General features: G+C 37.1%; 1 protein-coding gene across 4 annotated transcripts in view, besides 3 other annotated features; it reads right to left on the bottom strand.

The window, feature by feature from the left end:
• Nucleotides 1–22,596, bottom strand: part of MLLT10 (MLLT10 histone lysine methyltransferase DOT1L cofactor) — a 209,875-nt gene that overhangs the window by 59,285 nt on the left and 127,994 nt on the right. For 3 of the 4 annotated variants that reach the window (NR_136736.2, NM_004641.4, NM_001195626.3), the window contains 4 exons: nucleotides 13,642–13,897; nucleotides 10,427–10,996; nucleotides 2,970–3,014; nucleotides 2,089–2,121 (listed from right to left, as the gene is read on the bottom strand). Coding sequence is in view for 3 of the 4 variants with exons in the window: in NM_004641.4 (NP_004632.1) it covers nucleotides 2,089–2,121; nucleotides 2,970–3,014; nucleotides 10,427–10,996; nucleotides 13,642–13,897 (904 nt within the window). In the remaining variant the exon portion in view is untranslated. Of the gene's footprint in view, nucleotides 1–2,088; nucleotides 2,122–2,969; nucleotides 3,015–10,426; nucleotides 10,997–13,641; nucleotides 13,898–15,293; nucleotides 15,430–22,596 lie in introns of all 4 variants that reach the window. The other variant, NM_001324297.2, reaches the window with a different exon arrangement.
• Nucleotides 10,372–10,666: a silencer, noted in NCBI's record as "tiled region #7684; HepG2 Repressive non-DNase unmatched - State 15:Elon". NCBI's record gives its function as "represses a minimal TATA promoter and a strong SV40 promoter by Sharpr-MPRA in HepG2 cells {active_cell/tissue: HepG2}" and the evidence as "EXISTENCE:reporter gene assay evidence [ECO:0000049][PMID:27701403]".
• Nucleotides 18,737–19,236: an enhancer, noted in NCBI's record as "H3K27ac hESC enhancer chr10:21954039-21954538 (GRCh37/hg19 assembly coordinates)". NCBI's record gives its function as "activates a minimal SCP1, AML or CMV promoter by ChIP-STARR-seq in naive H9 embryonic stem cells {active_cell/tissue: H9 hESC(naive)}" and the evidence as "EXISTENCE:reporter gene assay evidence [ECO:0000049][PMID:30033119]".
• Nucleotides 20,164–20,814: an enhancer, noted in NCBI's record as "H3K27ac-H3K4me1 hESC enhancer chr10:21952461-21953111 (GRCh37/hg19 assembly coordinates)". NCBI's record gives its function as "activates a minimal SCP1, AML or CMV promoter by ChIP-STARR-seq in primed H9 embryonic stem cells {active_cell/tissue: H9 hESC(primed)}" and the evidence as "EXISTENCE:reporter gene assay evidence [ECO:0000049][PMID:30033119]".

The following is a 22,596-nucleotide window of genomic DNA, read 5'->3' as shown; positions in this document are numbered from 1 at the left end:
TTTGGGAAGCTAAGAAGCACAGGTGATAGGTGATACTTGAAGCTGTAGGTATGCAGATTTTCCAAGTGAGTACATAAGAGAGTCAAGGAGAAAATAGTGTGAGAAAAAACAATCAAGGACTAATCAAAGAAATCATAAAAGACTGATATAATCTCAGAAAATAATGTATTAGCCAGGCATGGTGGCGCACGCCTGCAGTCCTATCTACTCAGGGGACTGAGGTGGAAGGATCACTTGAGACCAGGAGTTGAAGGTTGCAATGACCTATGATCGATCATGCCACTGCACACCAGCCTGGGTAAGAAAGCAAGATCTTGCTTCTAAAAAAAAATAAAAAGTTAGAAAAAAAAATAAAATTATATAGCTGTAAACGACTATGTTCATAAAGATAAAAGATTCCAATCAATAATCCAACCATCCATCTTAGGTAAGTAAAAAGAGTATGGCTGGGCATCGTGGCTCACGCCTGTAATCCCAACACTTTAGGAGTCCACCTGGGAGAACCCAGGAGGCGGAGGTTGCAGTGAGCCAATATCACGCCACTGCACTCCAACCTGGGCAACAAGAGCAAAACTCCGTCTCAAAAAAAAAAACAAAACCCCAAACACAAAAAATTTCGAAAGAAAAGCTAACTGTTGGGGATGGGGCAGTGGGGGAGAGAAAATACTGTACAAATTTTTCCAGCGAAGCCTAAGAGACTCTCCCTCAATCACCCACAGGGTAAACATCATTCACTAGGTGTCAATCTTACACTTGTACTTGCAATGAAAAATATAAATCCATTACATTGCTCCCATGATGTCTACTTTCTTTTAATCCCAAGTTTATTTTCTAAAGATGTTCAGGATTAAAGAATTAAAGAACAATTCTAAATTTACTTATGCAAACTGAAGATGATGTTAAACATCCTCAGCTTTTACACTTCTCTACCAAATAACAGTAACAAGTTTATTTTATTTTCAAGGATGCTGCCAATCCCTTTTCCCTGTAGATACCTAGTGTTGAGGGACTCCTTGTTATCAAGAGTATTCATTATCTAAGCTTCCGCAGGCACAGGTTGCATAGGGAGACAAGAATTATGAATCAATCTACTAATTAATAAAAAATAACTTATAAGATAAGACTCCCACCCTAACGACCCCTACCCTTAAGGCAACAAGAGTGTCTATGCCTGCTCATTATGCCATTAGTCTCTTGTTGGCTGTCGATACTGTAAACATCTGACAATAAAACCCAAACGCAACACAAATCGACTGCAAATTAAAATACATTAGCAAAATATGCAAGATTTCATGAAGTTAATGAAAATGTATTGAAAAACTGCTTGGAATCAAGCAGTCTTGAACAAATGAGTCGAACATAAACAGTCTCGAACAAATGAGATCTGTTAATAACTGAAAAAGAAAATCAACAAAGTTGACACTAGCCTCAAAACGAGAATTTTTGAACATCAAAGGATTAAGGAATGTTCTTTGGGGAAACTGAAGAAACCTTCAAACATTTTTTGCAAGAATAATCTTCACTATAATTACATTACAAAGATAGTATTTGCCTGATATGCTGATTTCAGAACCCAATGCAGCAAAAGATACAACTCCACTGTAAAAAACCTGGTCCCAAACCAGATGTAATTTAAAAGACTATCTTCCATTTATTCACTATGTGGAATACAGGGGTAAAATAATTAAAGTATTCTATATATTAATAAACCCAAACCCTAAAAAATAAAATTCACATTCCAAGCAAATTCTTCCCCTAGGTACCAATAATTACCTGCACTGGCAAGAGAGATCTCAAAAGAACTAGAAAAACCATTTGTAAAAATAAAAAGACTTTCAGAAACTTAAAACACTATTATCATTTTGCCTTAAAAAGAAACAATAAAAGCCAAACTGATGAACCATATTGACCTATCAGCCTCTTATTGGCAATCTACAAAAATTTTTCACTAAGGTGCTGAACAATTGACTCACTGCAGCACTGGATTTCATCTAATCAATAGAACATGCTAGCTTTCAATCGAGATTCTCTACAAAAGGCAACCTTTGTGATAAACGAACCACTAGAGAAGATTCTAATAAAACTTACCGTTGTGTATTGCATTCAGCAACTCTGAGAACGCTTTTAAGTAAGGAAAAAAGGACTTCAGGTTAAGATCATTCTCAAACACACAAAAGAAATACATAGCCATACACTGAATTAGTATAATAAAATTTCAGTAAGTCTATCATATATCATTGTTTGAATCATTAAAACTGCAAGCTTGGCTCCATTTTTACATGGTATAAATTTTTAAATATTGTATTCCACTTGCCAACATATTACCAACTAAATTGAGATATGTTAAGGTATATTGTCATAACGACAATAATTTCCTTAGTAATAAATATGTATTTCAAATCACTTTTTAAAAGACATTTATGTCAACGTAATGTCTTGCTAAAAGTGAGTCACTGTAGGATGCAAATCTATATAGGTAAATCTGCCTTAGGGCACACTTAACAATATTTATTATAAAGAAAAACCTCATTATATCATCTAACCCTATCAAATATTCTCATTTCCTAGACTTCAGTATAAGAAAGCCTCAACACATGTAGAAGACTTAATGAAAAAAACCACCTAGTGCAAATATACAAATATTGAAAAATTATATTAAGAATAGAAAACAAAATGTTAAAAAAATAAACACATTATTTCAAGAAGGAGGTGAAGTCACAATTCTGCAACAAAAGCACCATATTAAAAGACCAACAATAATTAAAATTTGTACACAACTTGACTGTAATATGGATCTATAACAAGACAAAGCAGTACATTATCTTTGCAGGAGAAAAGTATCTGTTCAATTAAGAAAAACTTGCATTTTGGAATATTAAAATTTAGAGGTTCCGAGGTGGCATAACATACTAGAAAGAGCACTAGAGGAGACAAAAGGCCCGGGTTATCAACCCAGTTTGACAACTTACTAGTTGTTGGGCAAGCTCCATCATGCCGATACTGCATGGAAATTTCTGTTGAGAGGAAGGAAAAAGGAAATCAGTGAAGAAATTGCCAGTGACTCAAGGGTAAAAAAAGAGATAGGCCAGAAAAATGGAGGGAAATTCACCTAAAAGTGTAGTTAAGTAGGCCACCTAGAACTTCAAAAACAAAAATTATAAGCTAATAATTGGGACATGAGGGGGAGAACCAAACAGAATAGAATTCTCACAAATCTTAATGGGAGTGTGTGGAATGTATCTGTGTTATTACAAAGAGTGAGGAAAAGACATAAGGGCTTACAAATGAATCTGTATAACAAGTGTCTGAGAATAAAAGGCTTCATTAATGGGAGAAAGTATGATTCGCAACATGATACATTAATGTGCTTTAGATCTTTTTTTTTTTTTTGAGACAAAGTCTCACTCTGTTGCCCAGGATGGAGTGCAGTGGCGCAAGCTCGGCTCACTGGGTTCAAGTGATCCTCCCACCTCAGCCTCCCAAATAGCTGGGACTACAGGTGCATGCCACCATGCCTGGCTAATTTTTGTATCTTTAGTAGAGACAGGGTTTCACCATGTTGGCCAGGTTGGTCTGGAACTCCTGACCTCAAGTGATCTGCCTGCCTTGACCTCCCAAAGTGCTGGGATTACCGACGTGAGCCACCACGCTAGGTCTAGGTCATTCATTAGATGGGAAGAGCTTACCAAAAACATTTGAATACTATTTTCACATGGAAATCACAATTTAAGTATGATAATTTAGTTGATATATGACCATAAATATATTATGACTTATATAGCAGCATAAAACTCATTAAGTTATATTCAGCTCACTATCTTGAACCATTCATTTTTGAGAAAGATGGCTGGGTGTGGTGGCTCATGCCTGTAATCCCAGCACTTTGAGAGGCCAAGGCGGGCACTTGAGGTCAGGAGTTTGAGACCAGCCTGCCCAATAAGGCGAAACCCCGTCTCTACTAAAAATACAAAAATTAGCCGGGCATGGTGGCACGTGCCTGTAATCCGAGCTACTTGGGAGGCTGAGGCACAAGAATCGCTTGAACAAACAGTGGTTTCAGTGAGCCGAGATTGCACCATCGCACTACAGCCTGGGCGACAGAGCAAGACTTGGTCTCAAAAAAAAAGAAAAGAAAAAAAGAAAAGAGAAAGATAACAAATGAATAAGACATTATTACCCTTACTCTTTTATTCCACCCAAACGAGAAGAACAAGCAGAGGGTGCAGAGAACAAGGAATAAAACACTAATAAAAGCAAAATCTGCTCAGAATATGAGAAATTAATTTCTATATGGCTTTCTGAGGGAAAAATAATTGATAAAACTAGGACCAAGGCTGTGACTCAAAGGACCTGGGTTTGCTAATCCTGGAAACAACTGATATTCCCTTATGGCTAACACTGTTGGCAAAAATTTTTTTAAAGGAGGGATAACTGGGAATTCCTTGGATATTATTTAACCAAAAACATAGCCCCAAAATCCAAAACTTTTTGAGTGCGCCCATGACTCTCATGCTCATTGGTGCATTTTGGATTTCAGATTTTCAGATTAGTGATGCTCACCTGGTAAGTATATATAATGCAAGTATTCCAAAATCTCCCAAAAATCTGAAATTCCAAATACTATGGTCTCAAGAATTTTTAATAAAGGTTACTCAACCTGTACTTTGAAAGGACACAGTATGCCCCAAGAAAGGAAGTGAATGCTAAACCATCAACCCCTTGCAATTTGAGTTCTTTATGCCTCGTGTTCCATTACTGGAACCTAAGCTTGTGGGAGTTATTTATATCCTACTGCTCAAGGTCATCACCAAGGTCTGATTTTTCACACACAAAAAAGCGCAACCTCCAGCATAAATGGGTTAATGAATATCAGACTTTTCTCAGAGAAAATAACAAGATGGTTTTAGTGAAGAAAAAGATGTTCTCAACTTTCACTTTAGTAAATCAAATTTTTGTAATGTGGTGAAGATAAATAGCGAAGAGGAAAGGACAGATTGTCAACTCTTCCAAAACTGTTTTTGATGTTTCAAAAGACCTCGTGCCTAACTGTTCAGAACCCAAAAAAATGTACGTAGGAAAGAGTTCAGTCAAAAAACCAACAAAACCTATAAGCCCCAAACTTAAAACTCTTAGAAATCACTTTTAGAAACACACTAATTTTCCATTTTGTACAAGTCACTATAAAACAGGCCATTTATCAGGACACACTTCAATCCATAATACAAATTTTAGAATCTGAACTCTGAATCAAACATTTTATAGGTGTTTTCTAGGCTTCTACTCTAATTTGATCTACAGTTCCCAGAAAAAATGTACTCTGCTACAATTTGAACATGTCATGAGAGAATTTTGATTACTATTAAAACTGATGCTTTTAGCCAATAATTTCAAGAGGGAATCACATTAGAACCTGACTCTACTCCTGCTTTACATCCTAGTTGTAAAGGAGAAATAACAACATCAAGAGGAGCTGTCCTATTTCACAAGGCTGTTCCAAGGATCAAATGAGAGAGTAACTAAAGAGTTCCTAAGAAACTTAAACGTACTCAAATAAGAGATTATATTAGCATTGCCAAGCTGAATGAGATAGCATTTTTTTTCTTTTCCATTAATGAAATTCTTTCATAATGGTAACTAGCCAGAATAGTTATTTTAAGAAAAAGATCATTAGCCTATCAGTTTGATTTCTTCAGTCTGGCATTAATCTCTCAATGAACCCATCCTACCCTATAAACATCACCTTCACAGTGCCACAAATACAAGCTTCCTGTTCTTATTAGGCTTTTCCCTCAAACAGACCTTTACTTTCTTTTCAGGTAATATTGGCCTTCGTCTTCTGCCTACTTCAAAGTACAATTCAACCTCTCCATGATCTTTTCCAACTTAATAATACTTTTCATCATAAACTGGCAAAATAAATACTACATGAAAAGCTTTAAAAATAGCTGGGCCCAGTGGCTCACACCTGTAATCCCAGCATTTTGCGAGGCTGAGGCAGGTGGATCATGAGGTCAAGAGATGGAGACTGTCCTGGCCAACATGGTGAAACCCTGTCTCTATTAAAAATACAAAAATTAGCTGAGTGTGGTGGCGCGCACCTGTAGTCCCAGCTACTAGGGAGGCTGAGGCAGGGGAACTGCTTTAACTCGGGAGGCAGAGGTGGCAGTGAGCTGAGATCAGGCCACTACACTCTAGCCTGGTCAATAGAGCAAGACTCCAGCTCAAAAAAGAAAAGAAAAGAAAAGAAAAGCTTTACAAATAAAGTAATATGTCTTACAGCTTAGCTATAAACACTCAGAGGGGAAGTACAAAATCATACAGCATACTTCTAACCACATGACATACACTCACGAGACAACTAATGGTATTCATTCATTTCTTAAAATAATGTTTAACGTTTACTATGTCCAAAGCACTGTGCTGGCAGTGGGGATACAGTGGTGTATGTCAGAAACAGCCCCTAGCCTCAGGAGTTAGTATTATAGTGAATGTTATAGTTTAAACAACAGGTGCTTACAAAGGTCATCTTCGACATTACTAAATTATCGACCTGTCATTCAAGAAAGTCAATCTTTTAAAAACAGCATCATGAAAAACAACTTGTGATGATGTAATACATAATACAGTTGTCTTCTGTGTCTGTGGGATTCCACATCTGGGGATTCAACACCCTTGTATAGAAAATATTTGGAGGAAAAAATTGAGTCTGTACTGAATGTGTACAGACTTTTTTTCCTGTCATGATTCCCTAAGCAATATAGTATAACAACTATTTGCATAGCATTTACATGATACTAGGTATTATAAGAAATCTAGAAAAGAATGATTTAAGTACACAGGAAGATGTGCATAGGTTATATGAAAATACTATGACGTTTTATAACAGGAACTTGAGCATCTTGGACTTGGGTATTTATTTGCAGGAGGTCCTGGAACCAAGTCCCCATGGATGCCAAAGGATGACTGTATACATTTTCTCCTTCCTACTTATTTATTATATGGGGGGAAGCTTCTTGTTGTCACAATTACTAAATGATTTCTCAATTTCAAATTAGTCCAAAGGAAAAATTAACTTTTCATACCAATAAGAAACACTATTGCTGAAAGTTAAATTATTGGTTCAAATTTGTTCAGGGATCTCTTTGCTTAAAGTATGACTGACATTACACTAGTGTGGTGTTAGACCCTCATCAGCAAACATCTGTTGAGCTGTCTAATTAAATGGCTCTGGACCCAGGGAAAATGCATATCTCCATCACTTAAAACCTAAGAGAATTCTGTCTCAGTTTCTTGTCCTATATAATGAGTAATAACACTTAATGCTTATTAACTGCTTAACACAGTGTGTGGCACATACTAAGTGTTCATCAGCAGTTAGCAATTCTTAACTTACTATGATTAAAGCAGCACATGAAGCCAAGCCTCTTCTAGATAAGGATACGCTTTTTACTATTGTCAATAAATGTTCTGCACTAAGTCCTAAAATGTTTATTAACATACATAAAACTAAAGAATATATCTCAAAGAGTTTTCAATAATCTTATTCCATGATTATAGCTTTAACAAGACATAAAATATCTTCAGAGTAATTTTTTTTTTTTTTTTTTTTTTTTTTTTTTTTTTTTGAGATGGAGTCTCGCTCTGTCTCCCAGGCTGGAGTGCAGTGGCCCGATCTCGGCTCACTGCAACCTCTGCCTCCCGGGTTTAAGCGATTCTCCTGCCTCAGCCTCCCTAGTAGCTGGGACTACAGGTGCGTGCCACCACGTCTAGCTAATTTTTCTATTTTTAGTAGAGACCGGGTTTCACCATGTTGGCCAGGACGGTCTAGATCTCTTGACCTCAGGTGACCTGCCCACCTCGGCCTCCCAAAGTACTGGGATTACAGGCGTAAGTCACCATGCCCAGCCCCAGAGTAATTTTTTTTTTTTGAGACGGAGTCTCGCTCTGTCGCCCAGGCTGGAGTGCAGTGGTGTGATCTCTGCTCACTGCGAGCTCTGCCTCTCAGGTTCACGCCATTCTCCTGCCTCAGCCTCTCCGAGTAGCTAGGACTACAGGCACCCGCCACCATGCCGGGCTACTTTTTTGTATTTTTAGTAGAGACAGGGTTTCACCGTGGTCTCCATCTCCTGACCTCGTGATCCACCCACCTCAGCCTCCCAAAGTGCTGGGATTACAAGCATGAGCCACTGTGTGCGGCCGCCCCAGAGTAATTTTTAAACACAACGTTTTAAAAATTTATTGGCAGATAAATTTCTTAGGTCATTTATTTTTGTGAACTAATACTTACAAGAATTTCCCCCTAAATTACTATGTTTACCTAATGGTAAGGTAAGAGAAACGAATTCTTTTTTTCTGCCACAGGAGTACCACAAACACTGCCCTCTGAAAGCAACCATCCTATGAGGAACACTATTCCTCACACCTAACATCTCCCCAAATCTGTAACAGATAGGAAAATATTTTCAGGGATGTAAATCAATATCTTAATTTTATTAATTTGAAGATGTGTTTCAAATAAGCATTCCAATGTAATTTCTGAAATTCAGGAATTCCCAGACTATGCTTCAAAACTACAGAAAATCAGTAAAGAGGTCTCCCCACAAAAGCAAATCTAGGCTTTATTTTCTCAGTAAGGTACTCATGTGATTGATTACTACGCCTCTTGCTAAAAATGAAGAGAAATTCAATTTTTTGACTAAATTTGTCTAAAGGTACTTTTTGTGACAAGGGGGCTTACTGCTAAGCCCTTCTAGTTTCAAAGGAAACATATAAATAAAAGCATACATTCAAATATGCAATGTATTTAAACCTTTTCTATGAACTTCTTTCTCACTACAATTTACATGTATTTTCCCCCTCTAAAATAGTGAGCCTCAACCAGAGGTAGTTTTAGTCCTCTGGACACATTTAACACATTAAACAATGTTTGGAGACATTTTTTATTCCCACTGTAGGAAGGGAGAGTGTGATGATGCTCTTGGCCTGTAGGGGGCAGGGACTGGGGATTCTGGTAAATATCCTGCAATACACAGGGTAACACATGAAGACTTGTCCCATCCAAATTGTCAATAACGCTAAGATTGATAAATCCTGCTCTAGAACCATCCTTAATGCATCTAGAGATTCCACTCATTTCTGAATACAAAGAAACTCCTGGCTATGTGATCTTGGGTATCTTATTTCACCTTTCAAAGCCTCAGTGTTACCAGCTGTAAAATGAGGACATCTCATAACTGTTGTTAAATGAGAAAATAAATATTAACAGAACTGGCACATAACAAATCACAGTTATTGTTACTATTTCTCACATCTGACCTTTACATATGATATTCTCTCTCTTGGACTGGTCTTTCTTATTTGTTTATTTATTTGTTTGTTTATTGAAGTTACTACTGTGTATTCACAACTATTAAAACAATCTAAAATTTTGTATTTATAAAATAAACATGAACATTCTTCATTAAATTGTATCATTTTTCCATACCATTTCCTACCTACCCTTGCCACCAACTAATAGAACAAATACAATCCATAATAATTTATCTTACCTAAATTCTTGTTATTTCAACAATCAGAAATCTAAAACTAGAAGAAAGGTTTCAACATTTATTGAAAACCATTTATCTTAAATTCAAGATGAAATTTAAAAGATAAATGCTGACATTTCAGTTAACATCAACTGTTAAGGGTCTGTCTAAAAACATGCATTGCATTTTGAAGAAATTTTTAAAAACTGAAAATAACATTCATAATACAAATTGCAAGTTACAGAAACATCCCAATAGTGTGAATAACAATGTATATCAACTCACTTGTCTTATAATAAAAAGAATGGTAAAATCATGAAGTATATTTGAAAACACAATTAAATCATTTCAGATATCTCCTGAAATAAAATGTGACTGCTGGATTCCATAAATTAAAATCATTTATCACTGATATAAAAATGTCTCAGGATAGGGTAATTCAAGTAGTATCTGTGTGAGGAGTCGTTTAGAAAATGATTACTAAAATTGAAGTTTAGAGAAAGGGAGCTCAAAACAAAACAAAAACCAAAGGGTAAAAACTCTCACACCCTAAATATAAATTCTGCATTAAAAAAAAAATACTGTGCAGGTGAAACAAAAATAGGAAATAAATTCTAAGTGTTTTGTAAGTAATGAATGACCAATAGATTGTTTAGCCTACATTTAATTAAGTAAAATCAAATTAGTGCCGAACATCTTTCCCAAACACCAAATCATCTAAGACTTTAAGATATTTTTGTATTTTCCATTAGAAAATTTAAAAACTGAGAAATTTCACTTTAATTAAATGTCATTTATTAATTTCAAGTATTATCGTAACAACAGTTGAAAACGTTTTGGGACAGAAGAAGGGAGGTGGTGGGAGTGAAGGAGAAAAATAATAATAGGCAAACCCCTACCTGAACCAACTGGAGATGAGCCAACACTGAGGCTCTGTAAACTTCCATTCCTGAGCAATGTAGGAGATTTCTGCAGACTAGAGCTTGTTATGCTTCCTGCAGCTGATGCTACAGATGATGTTGGTGAAGCAGAAGAAACTGAGAGATGAGAAACATTCTCTTGATTTTTGTTTCCTTTGGGTCTGCCAGGCCCATGCTTACTTTGTTTATTTCCTTTCCTTTTCTTTTCCTTTACAGTTTCTTCTTCTATGCCAGAAGTTTGAGCCCGCTTATATCCTGCTGTAGGAAGGCTGGAATTACCCAAATCTCCAGGTGAATTTTCAAAGCTTTTAGGCTGTGAAGTAACAGCTGAGGTTGAAGGGAGGCCAATTAAGGTACTAAAACTATTTACCCCCCCTTCCTGGCTTCCAGACTCTCCTTTATGTACATCTTTGGTTGCTGATGACTGTTGGGAGTGAGAGTAACTGTCATTACGCAGATCTGAGTCTGTAAAGCTCAGGAAATCCTGGGGAGACTGCACTGAACTTCCAGAAGATGACTTTACACTGCCTGGAGTTCCTGAAAAACTGCCTGTAGTTTAAAAAAAAAAAAAAAAAAAAAAGTTGGGGGGTGGGGGGGACAGAAAAATTGGATGCTAAAGTTCCCATAAGCAGCAGACATGATATAATCATTAAAGAGAAGAGTTTAAAAAAATTAACTACAACACTTAGGACATTCGTATATTAAGACTTGTCAAATTTATCCCCAAAATTACCTTTAAAAACATGTGTCATTTTATAGATGGTATTAAATGTTTACTGTGGAATTGCAAGCTATTACTTAAATAATTATTAAGATATAAGATGCGCTTTATTTCACCTACCTTTTGCCACAGCAACATTCCGCAATTCTCCCCCAAACACCTCATGTATGCCTGAGGAAGGACTACAGAACAGTAGTCTCCTTTCCACAGTCATGCAAGAAGACCTAACAAGACTATAATCTGACTCTAAATGTCTAGGGGAACTTCTTTTTTGAATATTGAAGGTATGATTGAAAATGTTCCCAATATACAATAAGAACTTAAGAAGTTTCCTAGGTTATGAGTTCTAAGTTTTAACTTTAAGACATACTAGTGATTGTTATTGTTCAGCTGAATCTACCATAATAGAAAATGGATTTGACAAAATAATGATCATATGGAATCTAATCTATATCTCACATTCTCCCAATCCAATTTTCATGGAACTTCATAAAGAAATCAGCCATCACTGCTTATTCTTTCTTTAAAGAACATGAGTACCCCACCATACCATTCTAAGATATAAGAAACTTAGGCTGGGTGCAGTGGCTCATGCCTGTAATCCCAGCACTTTGGGAGGCCGAAGCGGGAGGATCATGAGGTCAGGAGTTCAAGACCAGCCTGACCAACATGGTGAAACCCCCGACTCTACTGAAAATATAAAAATTAGCCGGGGGTGGTGACGTGTGCCTCTAATCCCAGCTACTCAGGAGGCTGAACCCGTCTCTACAAAAAATTTAAAAATGAGCTGGGCATGGTGACGCATGCTTGTGGTCCCATCTACTTGGGAGACAAAGGTGGAGGCAAAAGCTAATTGAGGGTCTGAAGCAGGAAGAATGCTTGAGCCCAGGAGGTCAACCTTGCAGTGAGCCGTGATCACATGACTGCCCTCCAGCCTGGGCAACAAAGCAAGGCCCTGTCTCAAAATACACACACACACACACACACACACACACACACACACACACACTGAAAACCTGGAAAACAGGTTAGTGTGTTAACCTGTTAAACTTCAAACTTTATAACAAATGCATTATTAATCAACAACTTATTTACTGAGACCTATGTAAATCCCCTAAAAATTGTCTAGTATTTGTTTATCTACTAAAAAATGTAAACCTTGATTGTATTTATTTATTTAGTGGGTTTTATTGTTTGTTTTTGGTTTTTTGTTTGTTTGTTTTTTGAGGCAGGGTCTTGTTCTGTCGCCTAGGCTGGAGTGCAGTGGCACAATCACGGCTCACTGTAGCTTCAACCTCCCTGGGTCAAGCAATCCTCGCACTGTAGCCTCCTGAGGAGCTGGGGCCACAGGCAGACATCACCAAGCCTGGCTAATTTTGTTTGCCTGTCCAAGGAGACAGGGTCTCACTCTGTCACCCAGGCTGAAGTGCAGTAGTGCAATCTCAGCTCACTGCAGCCTCAACCTCCTGGGCTCAAGCAATCCTCCCACCTCGGCCTCTGAAGTAGCTGGGACTATAGGCATGTGCCACCATGCCTGGCTAATTTTGTATTTTTTAGAGAGACAGGGTTTTGCCATGTTGCCTAGGCTGGTCTCCAACTCCTAAACTCAGATGATCCACCTGACTGAGCCTCATAATACTGGGATTACAGGCATGAGCCACTGTGCCCAGTTCACACCCAGCTAATTTTTAAATTTTTTGTAGAGATGAGGTCTTACCACATTGCCCAAGCTGGCCTCAAGAGTTCTGCCCACCTCAGCATCCCAAACTGCTAGGATTATAGATGTGAGCCACCACGCCCGGCCAACCTTAATTGTTTTTAATGTTTAGGAAATATAAATAAAAAACATTTATGGAAAAGACACCAGGAACAGTATCTCACACCTGTAATCCTAGCACTTTGGGAGGCCAAGGCGGGAGGATCACCTGAGATCAGCAGTTCGAGACCAGCCTGGCCAACATGTGAAATCCCATCTCTACTAAAATACAAAAACTGGCCAGGCATGGTGGCATGCACCTGTAATCCCAGCTACTCAAGAGGCTGAGGCACAAGAATCACTTGAACCTGAGAGGCGGAGGTTGCAGTGAGCCGGCCACTGCACTCCAGCCCAGGCAACAGAGCGAGATTCCGTCTCAAACAAAAAGAAGGACTGTTCTACAGAACTCAAAGCAAAGCTCCAGCTTTTATTATTTTTCTCCCCAATTTTAAGCATTATTCCATATCTAGTTAAACATTAAAATTACAATTCAACTCTGGAAGCACAAATCATATTATAAAAGGAAAGAAAAAGTCCCTATTAAAAAAATTTAATAGGAAACACTATCTTTAAAGTAATCTTACTAAAGCAACTAATCATATAATAATCTAGAACATCCATTAGTTATAAGTTCAAAAACAAACCAATTATTTTACAAAGCATAACTATTATTAACCATCTTAAACACAAGTATTTTAACTAAAACATCACTAATACCTTGAGGAAAAGGGCTAGCTGCTGACACAGTTGTTCCTGGATTTCTTCCACCACCAGGCTTTCTTCCCCTTTGACCTGAGCTGTGAGCTGAAGATTTCTTCCCTTTGCCCTCTGACCCTCTAGTCTCTGAAACATCTTTTCCACTAGAGGTGTGTGCAGAGACTTCCTGGAAATTTGCATTTGTAAATCGTGCAGTAGTATCTTCCAAGCGCTTCAATGATCCAGATATAGAGTTGTTGCTAGTGCTTGTATAAGTCTAACATTTTGATTCAAAAAGGGAAGGAAAAAGAGTTGATTACATTTTAGTTACAGAAAACAATGGGTGCCACATTAATAAGAAGAACTTGCAGAATAAACACAAAGTTTCTGTTCTAAAAATAAGTCAGTTCACCTAAGAAAATCATCCAAAAACAATTTAAGTCTATTATAATTACTTTTAAAAAAAGAAAAGAAAAGAAAAAGCCTACATAATTTAAAGATGGCTGTTTCAGGATCAAATTGCAACAACTAGTAAAAGTATGTATTAGTTATATTTATGAAGTGACACAGTAATACTGAAGATACTCATTTGTCAAGCAACATCATTTTTTTTTAACAATGTCTACACTTCCTAGACATGAAATTAAAATAAGCTTTAGTATTCAACACAGGAAGGTGACAATAAGGGAACTAAGGTGCTACAAATCCATTAGAGGACCATATCCATGAGTTTATAAGGCTAGCGGAGGACAGAGCAAAACTTTTGAAGGAAACCAGGTGAGGGCCCCTTTGCAAAAAAAAACAGAAAGATTTGAAACAGAAATCATTTTTCCAATTGTTATGTTGAGGAAAAAGTTATATATCGCAAAGGTAAGATTTTATAACTATCCCTAAAAATGGTTCTCAATCATTCCCTTGATCTGCATTTGTTAAGGTAAAAAGATGAAGACTTGTATAGTTTCCAGTTTTAGCAGTCATTTTTAATACAAGGTATACCCAAATAATGGTGAATAAAATGACTACATGAAAGTGTATTATACCAGATGCACATTAATCACCATGTTTTGAAATCAAAGGTTTATAAAGTCCATAAGGGCAAAGATTTTGATGTTGCCATTAAGTTCACTAAAGTATCTGAGGCATGCACAGCATAAAGTTCACTAAGTGCTTGCTACATAATCGGCACTAAATTTTTGTTGGATAAGTTAATACTTTTTTATTGTATCTATCTAAAATCTCTGCTATAAAAATGAAAAAAATCTGAAAATATGCAAAAGTGAATTTTCCCACATACAGCCACCACTCAACACAAACAATCAGATGAATATGAAAAACGAGAACATGACAATAAAATAAAGTTTCAAAATGGCTGGCATTTTTAGCAAAAACAATTTCAAAAAGAGGAATAAGAGAAGAAATTAAGTGTTTGGAAAACCAAATCTTGCTGCTTTTCTGTCACCCTGTTGCCATCCCCAGCCCCCATCATCTCAGTGCCAATAACAGATATTCATCATTAAATAGAAGAAATATTTCATAAAAACAAAGTACTCCACTATTCTAACAAACTACAATCCACAAACAAGAACAAACGTTTCAAAGTAAGTTTAAAAGGAAAAAAAAAATCCCATTTTACAAACCAATTACATTTAAGCTGATGAAACTTCATGGCTTACTTTAGAAATATGAACCTTTTCCATGCTGGGCAGGTCAATTTGGAAACCACCCCACCTCATTTTTCAAATACTTTTTCCAATTACTTGAGTTGATCCTGAGGTTCTCCATTCCTCTCACATCTGATCCTTGCATGACCTAGTGAAGTTTAAAAGTCATCTAAGAAAACACAGTGGTGTTCTTCACTCATGTATTTTTGCTCATGTATCAAATAAAGAATGGAGAGAAAATTGGGTAGAGTACTACAAATGGAAATACGCTATTCACTTCCACATGACAATCTACATTAGAGATGGTCATTTTTCCCACTTATTTAACAGAACACCCTTGATCAAACCCTCAAGTATAAATCTGTCCATAAAAACCCATGAAAACATGACATTTGGAAGAAACAGTATTACAAAGAGAGCAATGAATAAAACAATCAAACTTCAGTGACAAAAAATCATATTAAAACTGTAACTGAACATTTTTTAAATGTCCAAACCTACGTTTCAGAACATAATCAGACTTAATGTGAAAAAAATGAATTTTAGCTTTAGATGTTAACAATTTTTAAATTACACATAATGACACTAACTAAGGCAATGCAGGGTTCATTCAAAGAGAAACATCTATTTTAATTCCAGGTTTAAAAATGATTTTAAAAGTACTTGTTCCATAATGTGCTGTTGGGACAATATGGCACTAGGGAATTCCATTATAAACATACAATGATCAACTCAAAATCGAAGACAGGTAAAAGGAGACCAGAAGGAGGTGGGAGATGGCTGAAAGACACACTATGAGTAAGCCCAAGACTAAATTCACAAAATCTTGTTTCCTCACTTTTGTATTCTAAATGTCTATCATAGTATGAACATCTCACTGCTCTGAGTGTAATTCTTGTATATAATAATACTTATTTTTAATGTAAATTGGACCACAAAATGCCAACTACTTCATTTGGTGCTCTACTGAAAAATGTAAGTTCTTTTTTTGTTGTTGTTGTTTTCTACTGGAGATAAAACTAGATATTTGGCTGTACTGAGAGTCTCTGAAGTACTGCATACTTTGTTCTACATTGTGATTTACGGGCAACTTAATCTTTTAAAAGGCTAATTCAGAATACACGTCATTTTTATTTCATGGCCAACTATTAGTCCTAAGATAAGCTGCAACACCAATATACCTATACAATAGCATTAAGTGGAAACAAAAATTATTTACTTCAAACAAAAATTTAAAACTAGATCCAAAATTAAACAATGACTCTATAACAAGTAACCAAAGAAACAGCAGCTATGATTATTTACAAAAGGTATGGTTGCCTCAGATTAGTCTACAAGGCTCTGTCATCTGCATTGGTGATGGCAAGTGCTATGCCTTCAACCATTAGAAAACATAATGTGCTGGTTAAAATATTAAAATAAAATAATGTACTATTCAAGTGTCCCATAAAAACCACAAACTTTGTACCAAGCCAACCTTGAGACTACAACATGTAAACTACCCAACATAAATCACCAAAAGAATGAGTACATTAAAAAAAAAACAGTGAGCTGTAGAACAACCTTAAGTAGCCTAATTTACATGCTACTAGAATACTCAAAAAGAATGGGAGGATCAAAACAAACGAACAAAAAATCCCCACAAAACTGAAGAAATAATAGTAGGAAAAATTATAAAATTGATGAAAAAAAAAAAACCCCCACAGTTTAAGAACCTCAAGTAACCCCAAGAAAAATAAATATGAAGAAAAGTAAATGAACTCAGTTCATTATCAAATTGCTTATCTTTAAAAACCAATGATAAAGAGGAAATGTTACAAGAAACCAGGCTTTTCTTTTTTCTTTTTAAGGATGTCTTACACTCCAAAAACAAAGATTAAGAATGAAAGCAAAATCTTCCCTGAAAACATTCGATCTAGAAAACAGGAGAGTACTAAAAGAAAAAACTGTCAACTTAGAATTCCACAGGCAGCTATTATAAAATATCTTTCTAAAACAAATACAAAATAAAGGCTTTTTTGGATATAAAAGCAGAAAGAACTAATCACTAGCAGACCAACACTACAATAAATGCTAAAAGAACTATTTCAGACAAATAATAAATGAAATGTGAATATACCAAAAAGAAGGAAGAGCATTAGAAATGTTCATTGCTAATAGTAAATATAGTACAGAGAGATGATGATGATGTGAAATTTCTCATCACACCACTCAAAACAGTGTGCAAATTATAATGTATTTATTTCTGGAATTTTCTATTCAATATTTTTCAGACCGCAGTTGACTGAAGATAACTGAAACTGTGAAAAGAGATAAGGAAGGAGTAACAGACAAATACAGTAAAAATGGTAAACAATAAAGACTTGTTCCATTATTTTACTTTTTTATTTATTTTTTTTTTTTGAGACAGAGTCTTGCTCTGTCGCCAGGCTGGAGTGCAGTAGTGCGATCTGAGCTCACTGCAACCTCCACCTCCCGGGTTCCAACGATTCTCCTGCCTCAGCCTTCCCAGTAGCTGGGACTACAGACACCTGCCACCATGCCCAGCTAATTTTTGTGTTTTTAGTAGAGAGCGGTTTCACCATGTTGGGCAGGATGGTCTTGATCTCTTGACCTCGTGATCCACCCGCTTCGGCCTCCCAAAGTGTTTGGGAGTACAGCCATGAGCCACCGCGCCTGGCCTATTTTAAACTCTTTACAAGACAGATGATATAGAGCAAAAGTAGTAACAATAAATTGTGTTTTATAATATATGTAAAAAAACAATAAGTGATAAAAATAGCACAAAACCAAAAGGGGAGAAGTATACAGCTACAAGGTTCTTATACTTTATGTAAACTAGTATAATATTGCTTGAAGGTAAACTCTGATAGGCTAACGACGCTATACCGTACTCTCTAAATCAAACAATACAATATAACAAAAAATTATTGCAAATCAGGCAAAACTGAATCATAAAAAAAGTTCAATCAAACATACAGCAGACAGAGAAAGAGAAGGGAAGAGAAATGATGGGCAAAAAGAAAAGGATTAGCAAATGTTAGATTAAAATGCAACTACACAGAGGCCAGGTGCAGTGGCTCACACTGTAATTCCAGAACTTTTGGAGTCAGGCAGATCGACTAAGGTCAGGAGTTCGAGACCAGCCTGGCCAACATGGTAAAACCCTGTCTCTACCTGTAGATTAGCTGCACCTGTAGTCTCAGCTAATCAGGAGACTGAGGTGGGAGATCGCTTGAACCCAGGAGGCAGAGGTTGCCGTGAGCCGAGATCAAGCCACTGCACTCCAGCCTGGGAGACAGAGCAAGACCCTGTTCCAATAATAATAATAATAACAGTATTATAATAAAATACAACCACTCAGAGAATCATATTATCTGTAAATTCTCTAAACACCCCAATTAAAAAGCAAAGATTGCAACAATGAATGAATAAACTCATAACATGACTATACGCTGCCTTAAAAAAACCTATTTTGGCTGGGCGCAGTGGCTCACACCTGTAATCCCAGCTGTTTGGGAGGCGGAGAAGGGTGGATCACCTGAGGTAAGGAGCTGGAGATCAGCCTGACCAACACGGAGAAACCCTGTAGCTACTAAAAATGCAAAATTAGCTGGGCGTGGTGGCACATACCTGTAATCCCAGCTATTCAGGAGGCTGAGGCAGGAGAATCGCTTAAAACCAGGAGGCGGAGGTTGCGGTAAGCCAAAATCGTGCCATTGCACTCCAGCCTGGGCAACAAGAGTGAAACCCCCCCCCCCCCAAAAAAAACAAACAAACAAACAAAAAAGAAGCCTATTTTAAGTTAAATTAACTTCAGGCCAGGCGCAGTGGCTCGCGCCTGTAATCCCAACACTTTAAGAGGCCGACACAGGTGGATCACTTGAGGCCAAGAGTTCAGGACCAGCCTGGCCAACATGGTGAAACCCCGTCTCTACTAAGAATACAAAAATTAGCCAGGCATGGTGATGCACACCTGCAATCCCAGCTACTTGGAAGTCTGAGGCAGGAGAATCACTTGAACCCAGGAGGCAGAGGTTGCAGTGAGCTGAGATCATGCTACTGCACTCCAGCCGGGGTGACAGAGCGAGACTCTATCTCAAAAAAAAAAAAAAAAAAAGAAAAGAAAAAAGAAGCCTATTTTAAATATAAAGGCACAAAGAAAGTATAAGCATGTGAAAAGAAACATCAAGCTAAAGCTAATCAATAGAAAGCTAAATTCACTATATTAATATCAGCCAGTAGATTTCACAACAAAGAATATTAACAAAATACAGTGGCTTACTCATCAAGATACAAAAATCCTAATTGTTTCTGCACCTAATACCCACCGCTCACAATAACTGACAGAACAAACAAGCAAAAAACGAGTAAGGATATAGAAAACTTAATATAAATCAACTTGACCTAATGGACATTTACAGAAAAACTCCACACAACTACAAATGAATACACATTCATTGTTATAAAAAACACATAGAGCCGGGCACGCCTGTAATCCCAGCAACTTTGGGAGGCTGAGGGGGCAGGTCACGAGGTCAAGAGATCGCGACCATCCTGACCAACATGGTGAAACCCTGTCCCTACTAAAAATACAAAAATTAGCTGGGTAAGTCCCAGCTACTTGGGAGGCTGAGACAGGAGAATCGCTTGAACCTGGGAGGCAGAGGCTGCAGTGAGCTGAGATCGTGCCACTGCACTCCAGGACAGAGGGAGACTCTATCTCCCCCTCAAAAAAAAAAAACAAACAAACAAAAAGCAAACAAAAAAAAAACACATACATAGAATGTTTAACAAGATAATCCATGTTCTGCATCAAAAAAGTATCAATAAACTTAAAAGGAATGATAACACAAAAATATTAAATTAGAAATCAGTAACAAAGTGAATATCCAAATATTTCTAAACTAAATAACACACTTTTAAGTAACTCATAGGTCAAAGAAGAAAAGGAAAACCATACAAAGCATTTTTTAACTAAATAAAAATGAAAACACAACATATCAAAATTCATAAAGCCCTACTTAAGAGGGAAGTTTATATCATTAAATGCCTATACTAGGAATTCTGGTTTCTCGTTGAGCATATAAGGAGCAGAGAGAAGTCTTTGCTCTGCCCTAAAACAAACACAAAACTCAACAAACTGAAAATCACCAACTCTTATATCAGTGAATTGAGAGGTCACAGGGCAAACTGCTAAACAAAAAATTGGGGGTCATACCTGTAATTCCAGCACTTTGGGAGGTGGAGGCAGGCGGATCACAAGGTCAGGAGATCAAGACCATCCTGGCTAACAAGGTGAAACCCCGTCTCTACTAAAAAATATTTAAAAATTACCCAGGTGGGGTGGCAGGCGTCTGTAGTCCCAGCTATTCGGGAGGCTGAGGCAGGAAAATGGTGTGAACCTGGGAGATGGAGCTTGCAGTGAGCTGAGATCACACCATTGCACTCCAGCCTGGGTGACAGAGCAAGACTCTCTCAAAAAACAAAAACAAAACAAACAAACGAACAAAAACAAAAATTAGCTGGGCATGGTGGCACATGCCTGTAATCCCAGCTACTTGGGAGGCTGAGGCAGGAGAATTACTTGAACCCGGGAAGCAGAAGTTGCAGTGAGCCGAGATCACACCATTGCACTCCAGCCTGGGCAACAGGAGTGAAACTCCGTCTCAAAAAAAAAAAAAAAGGAAAGACAAATCAGTGCACAGAGAGACTTACAACTTACTTAAGCAAATCCAGCAGCTGAAACCTCTGCAGGAACCAGTACCAGGGAAAGAAAACCTGAACTATTTTAGTTGATACTGCTGGAGGCACAGTGTGAACAAGCCCGAAAAAGAAAACCTCCAGGGGGACCTGGTCTTGGGGGACCCTCACACTTTTGTGAATTTTACCTCTAGGACCTCTAGCAGGCCCACAGAGTGAATACCGGAGACAGAGTCCCCCAGAGATCCCTCCAATAAAGGGGGAAAAGGAACCATTTTGAAATAACCAGAGCTTTCTTTTTCCTAACAAGGCCTGCTATTTAACTATTTAACCAGATCCTAACCTGTGGAGGTTTTTGTCAGAGCCTAACTAACCTAGGGAAGGGAAATGTACAACCTCAGGCGACTCTAACCATCATCCTGTCCCACTTGAGGGAGAAAAAAATAACTAAGAAGCCCCTATGCAGTTCACATTCCAGGGGTAGAGGTTCACCTAAAGACTGAAACCTAATTATAGAAATATAAGATCTCCTGTTCCCCACAATTCACTAGCACGTTAACTAAAGGCCTATTTATAGTGCAGTTCCCTTTGCCAGGATATAATGTTCAACTTGAAACAACAACACAAAAGGCAAAAAATACAGTTTAAATAAAGTGAAAAACCATCAGAAACCAAGTCAGACATGGCAGGAATGTTGGAATTATGAGACCAATAATTTTTGAAATCTATAATTAATATGATAAGGAATTTAATGGAAAAGGTAGACAACATGCAAGAACATATGCATAATGAAAGCAAATCAGAAATGCCAGAGAGATCAAAAACAAACAGAAATGAAGAATGTCTTTGATGGAATCATCAGCAGAGTGGGACACAACTCAAGAAAAAAATCTCTTAAGCTTGAGGATATGACAATAAAAACTTCCAAAATTGAAAAGGAAAGAGAAAAAAGACTGGAAAACAAAAGCAAACAAAATATCCATGAATGCTGGGACATATACAAAACACATGACATAGTTAAAATGGGAATACAGGGAAGAGAAGAAAAGAGAAGAAGCAATATTTGAAATCATAACGTCCAAAAACTTCCCCTCGAATAAATGGCAGTAGCCAAACCAGCTATCAAAGAAACTTAGAGGATGCCAAACAAGATAAATGCAAAAAAAGGAGGGGGTAAGGGAAGTACACCTCCATGCTCAAAGATTAAAATCCACGAAGGAAGCCAGAAGAAAACACCTTACCCACACAGGCACTAAGTGTAAGAATGATATCTGAATTTGCCTCAGAAAACATGCAATCAAGCAGACAGTGAAATAAAACACTTAAAGTGTGATGAGAGGGTGAAAAAAAAGACAAGAAAATGCAATCATATAAAATACTCAATAAAAACCACAAAAGCTGTGAATGACAAAAACAGTAACAAAAATTTAAAAATGAAAAATAATAATAAATATGGTAGATATTAACCCAATTATATCAATAATCACCTTAAATGGCAATGGTCTAAATACCCCAATTAAAAAATAAAGATTGTCACAGATCCAAAACCAAGCAGCAACTACATGTTGTCTACAGGAAACCTACTTTAAATATAAAGACATGTAGAGTTTAA

This window comes from Homo sapiens, chromosome 10 (genome assembly GCF_000001405.40).
Source record: "Homo sapiens chromosome 10, GRCh38.p14 Primary Assembly".
NCBI classification, from domain to species: domain Eukaryota; kingdom Metazoa; phylum Chordata; class Mammalia; order Primates; family Hominidae; genus Homo; species Homo sapiens.
The sequence above is the reverse complement of the archived record's forward strand: the minus strand, read 5'-3'. Positions and strand labels throughout refer to the sequence as shown.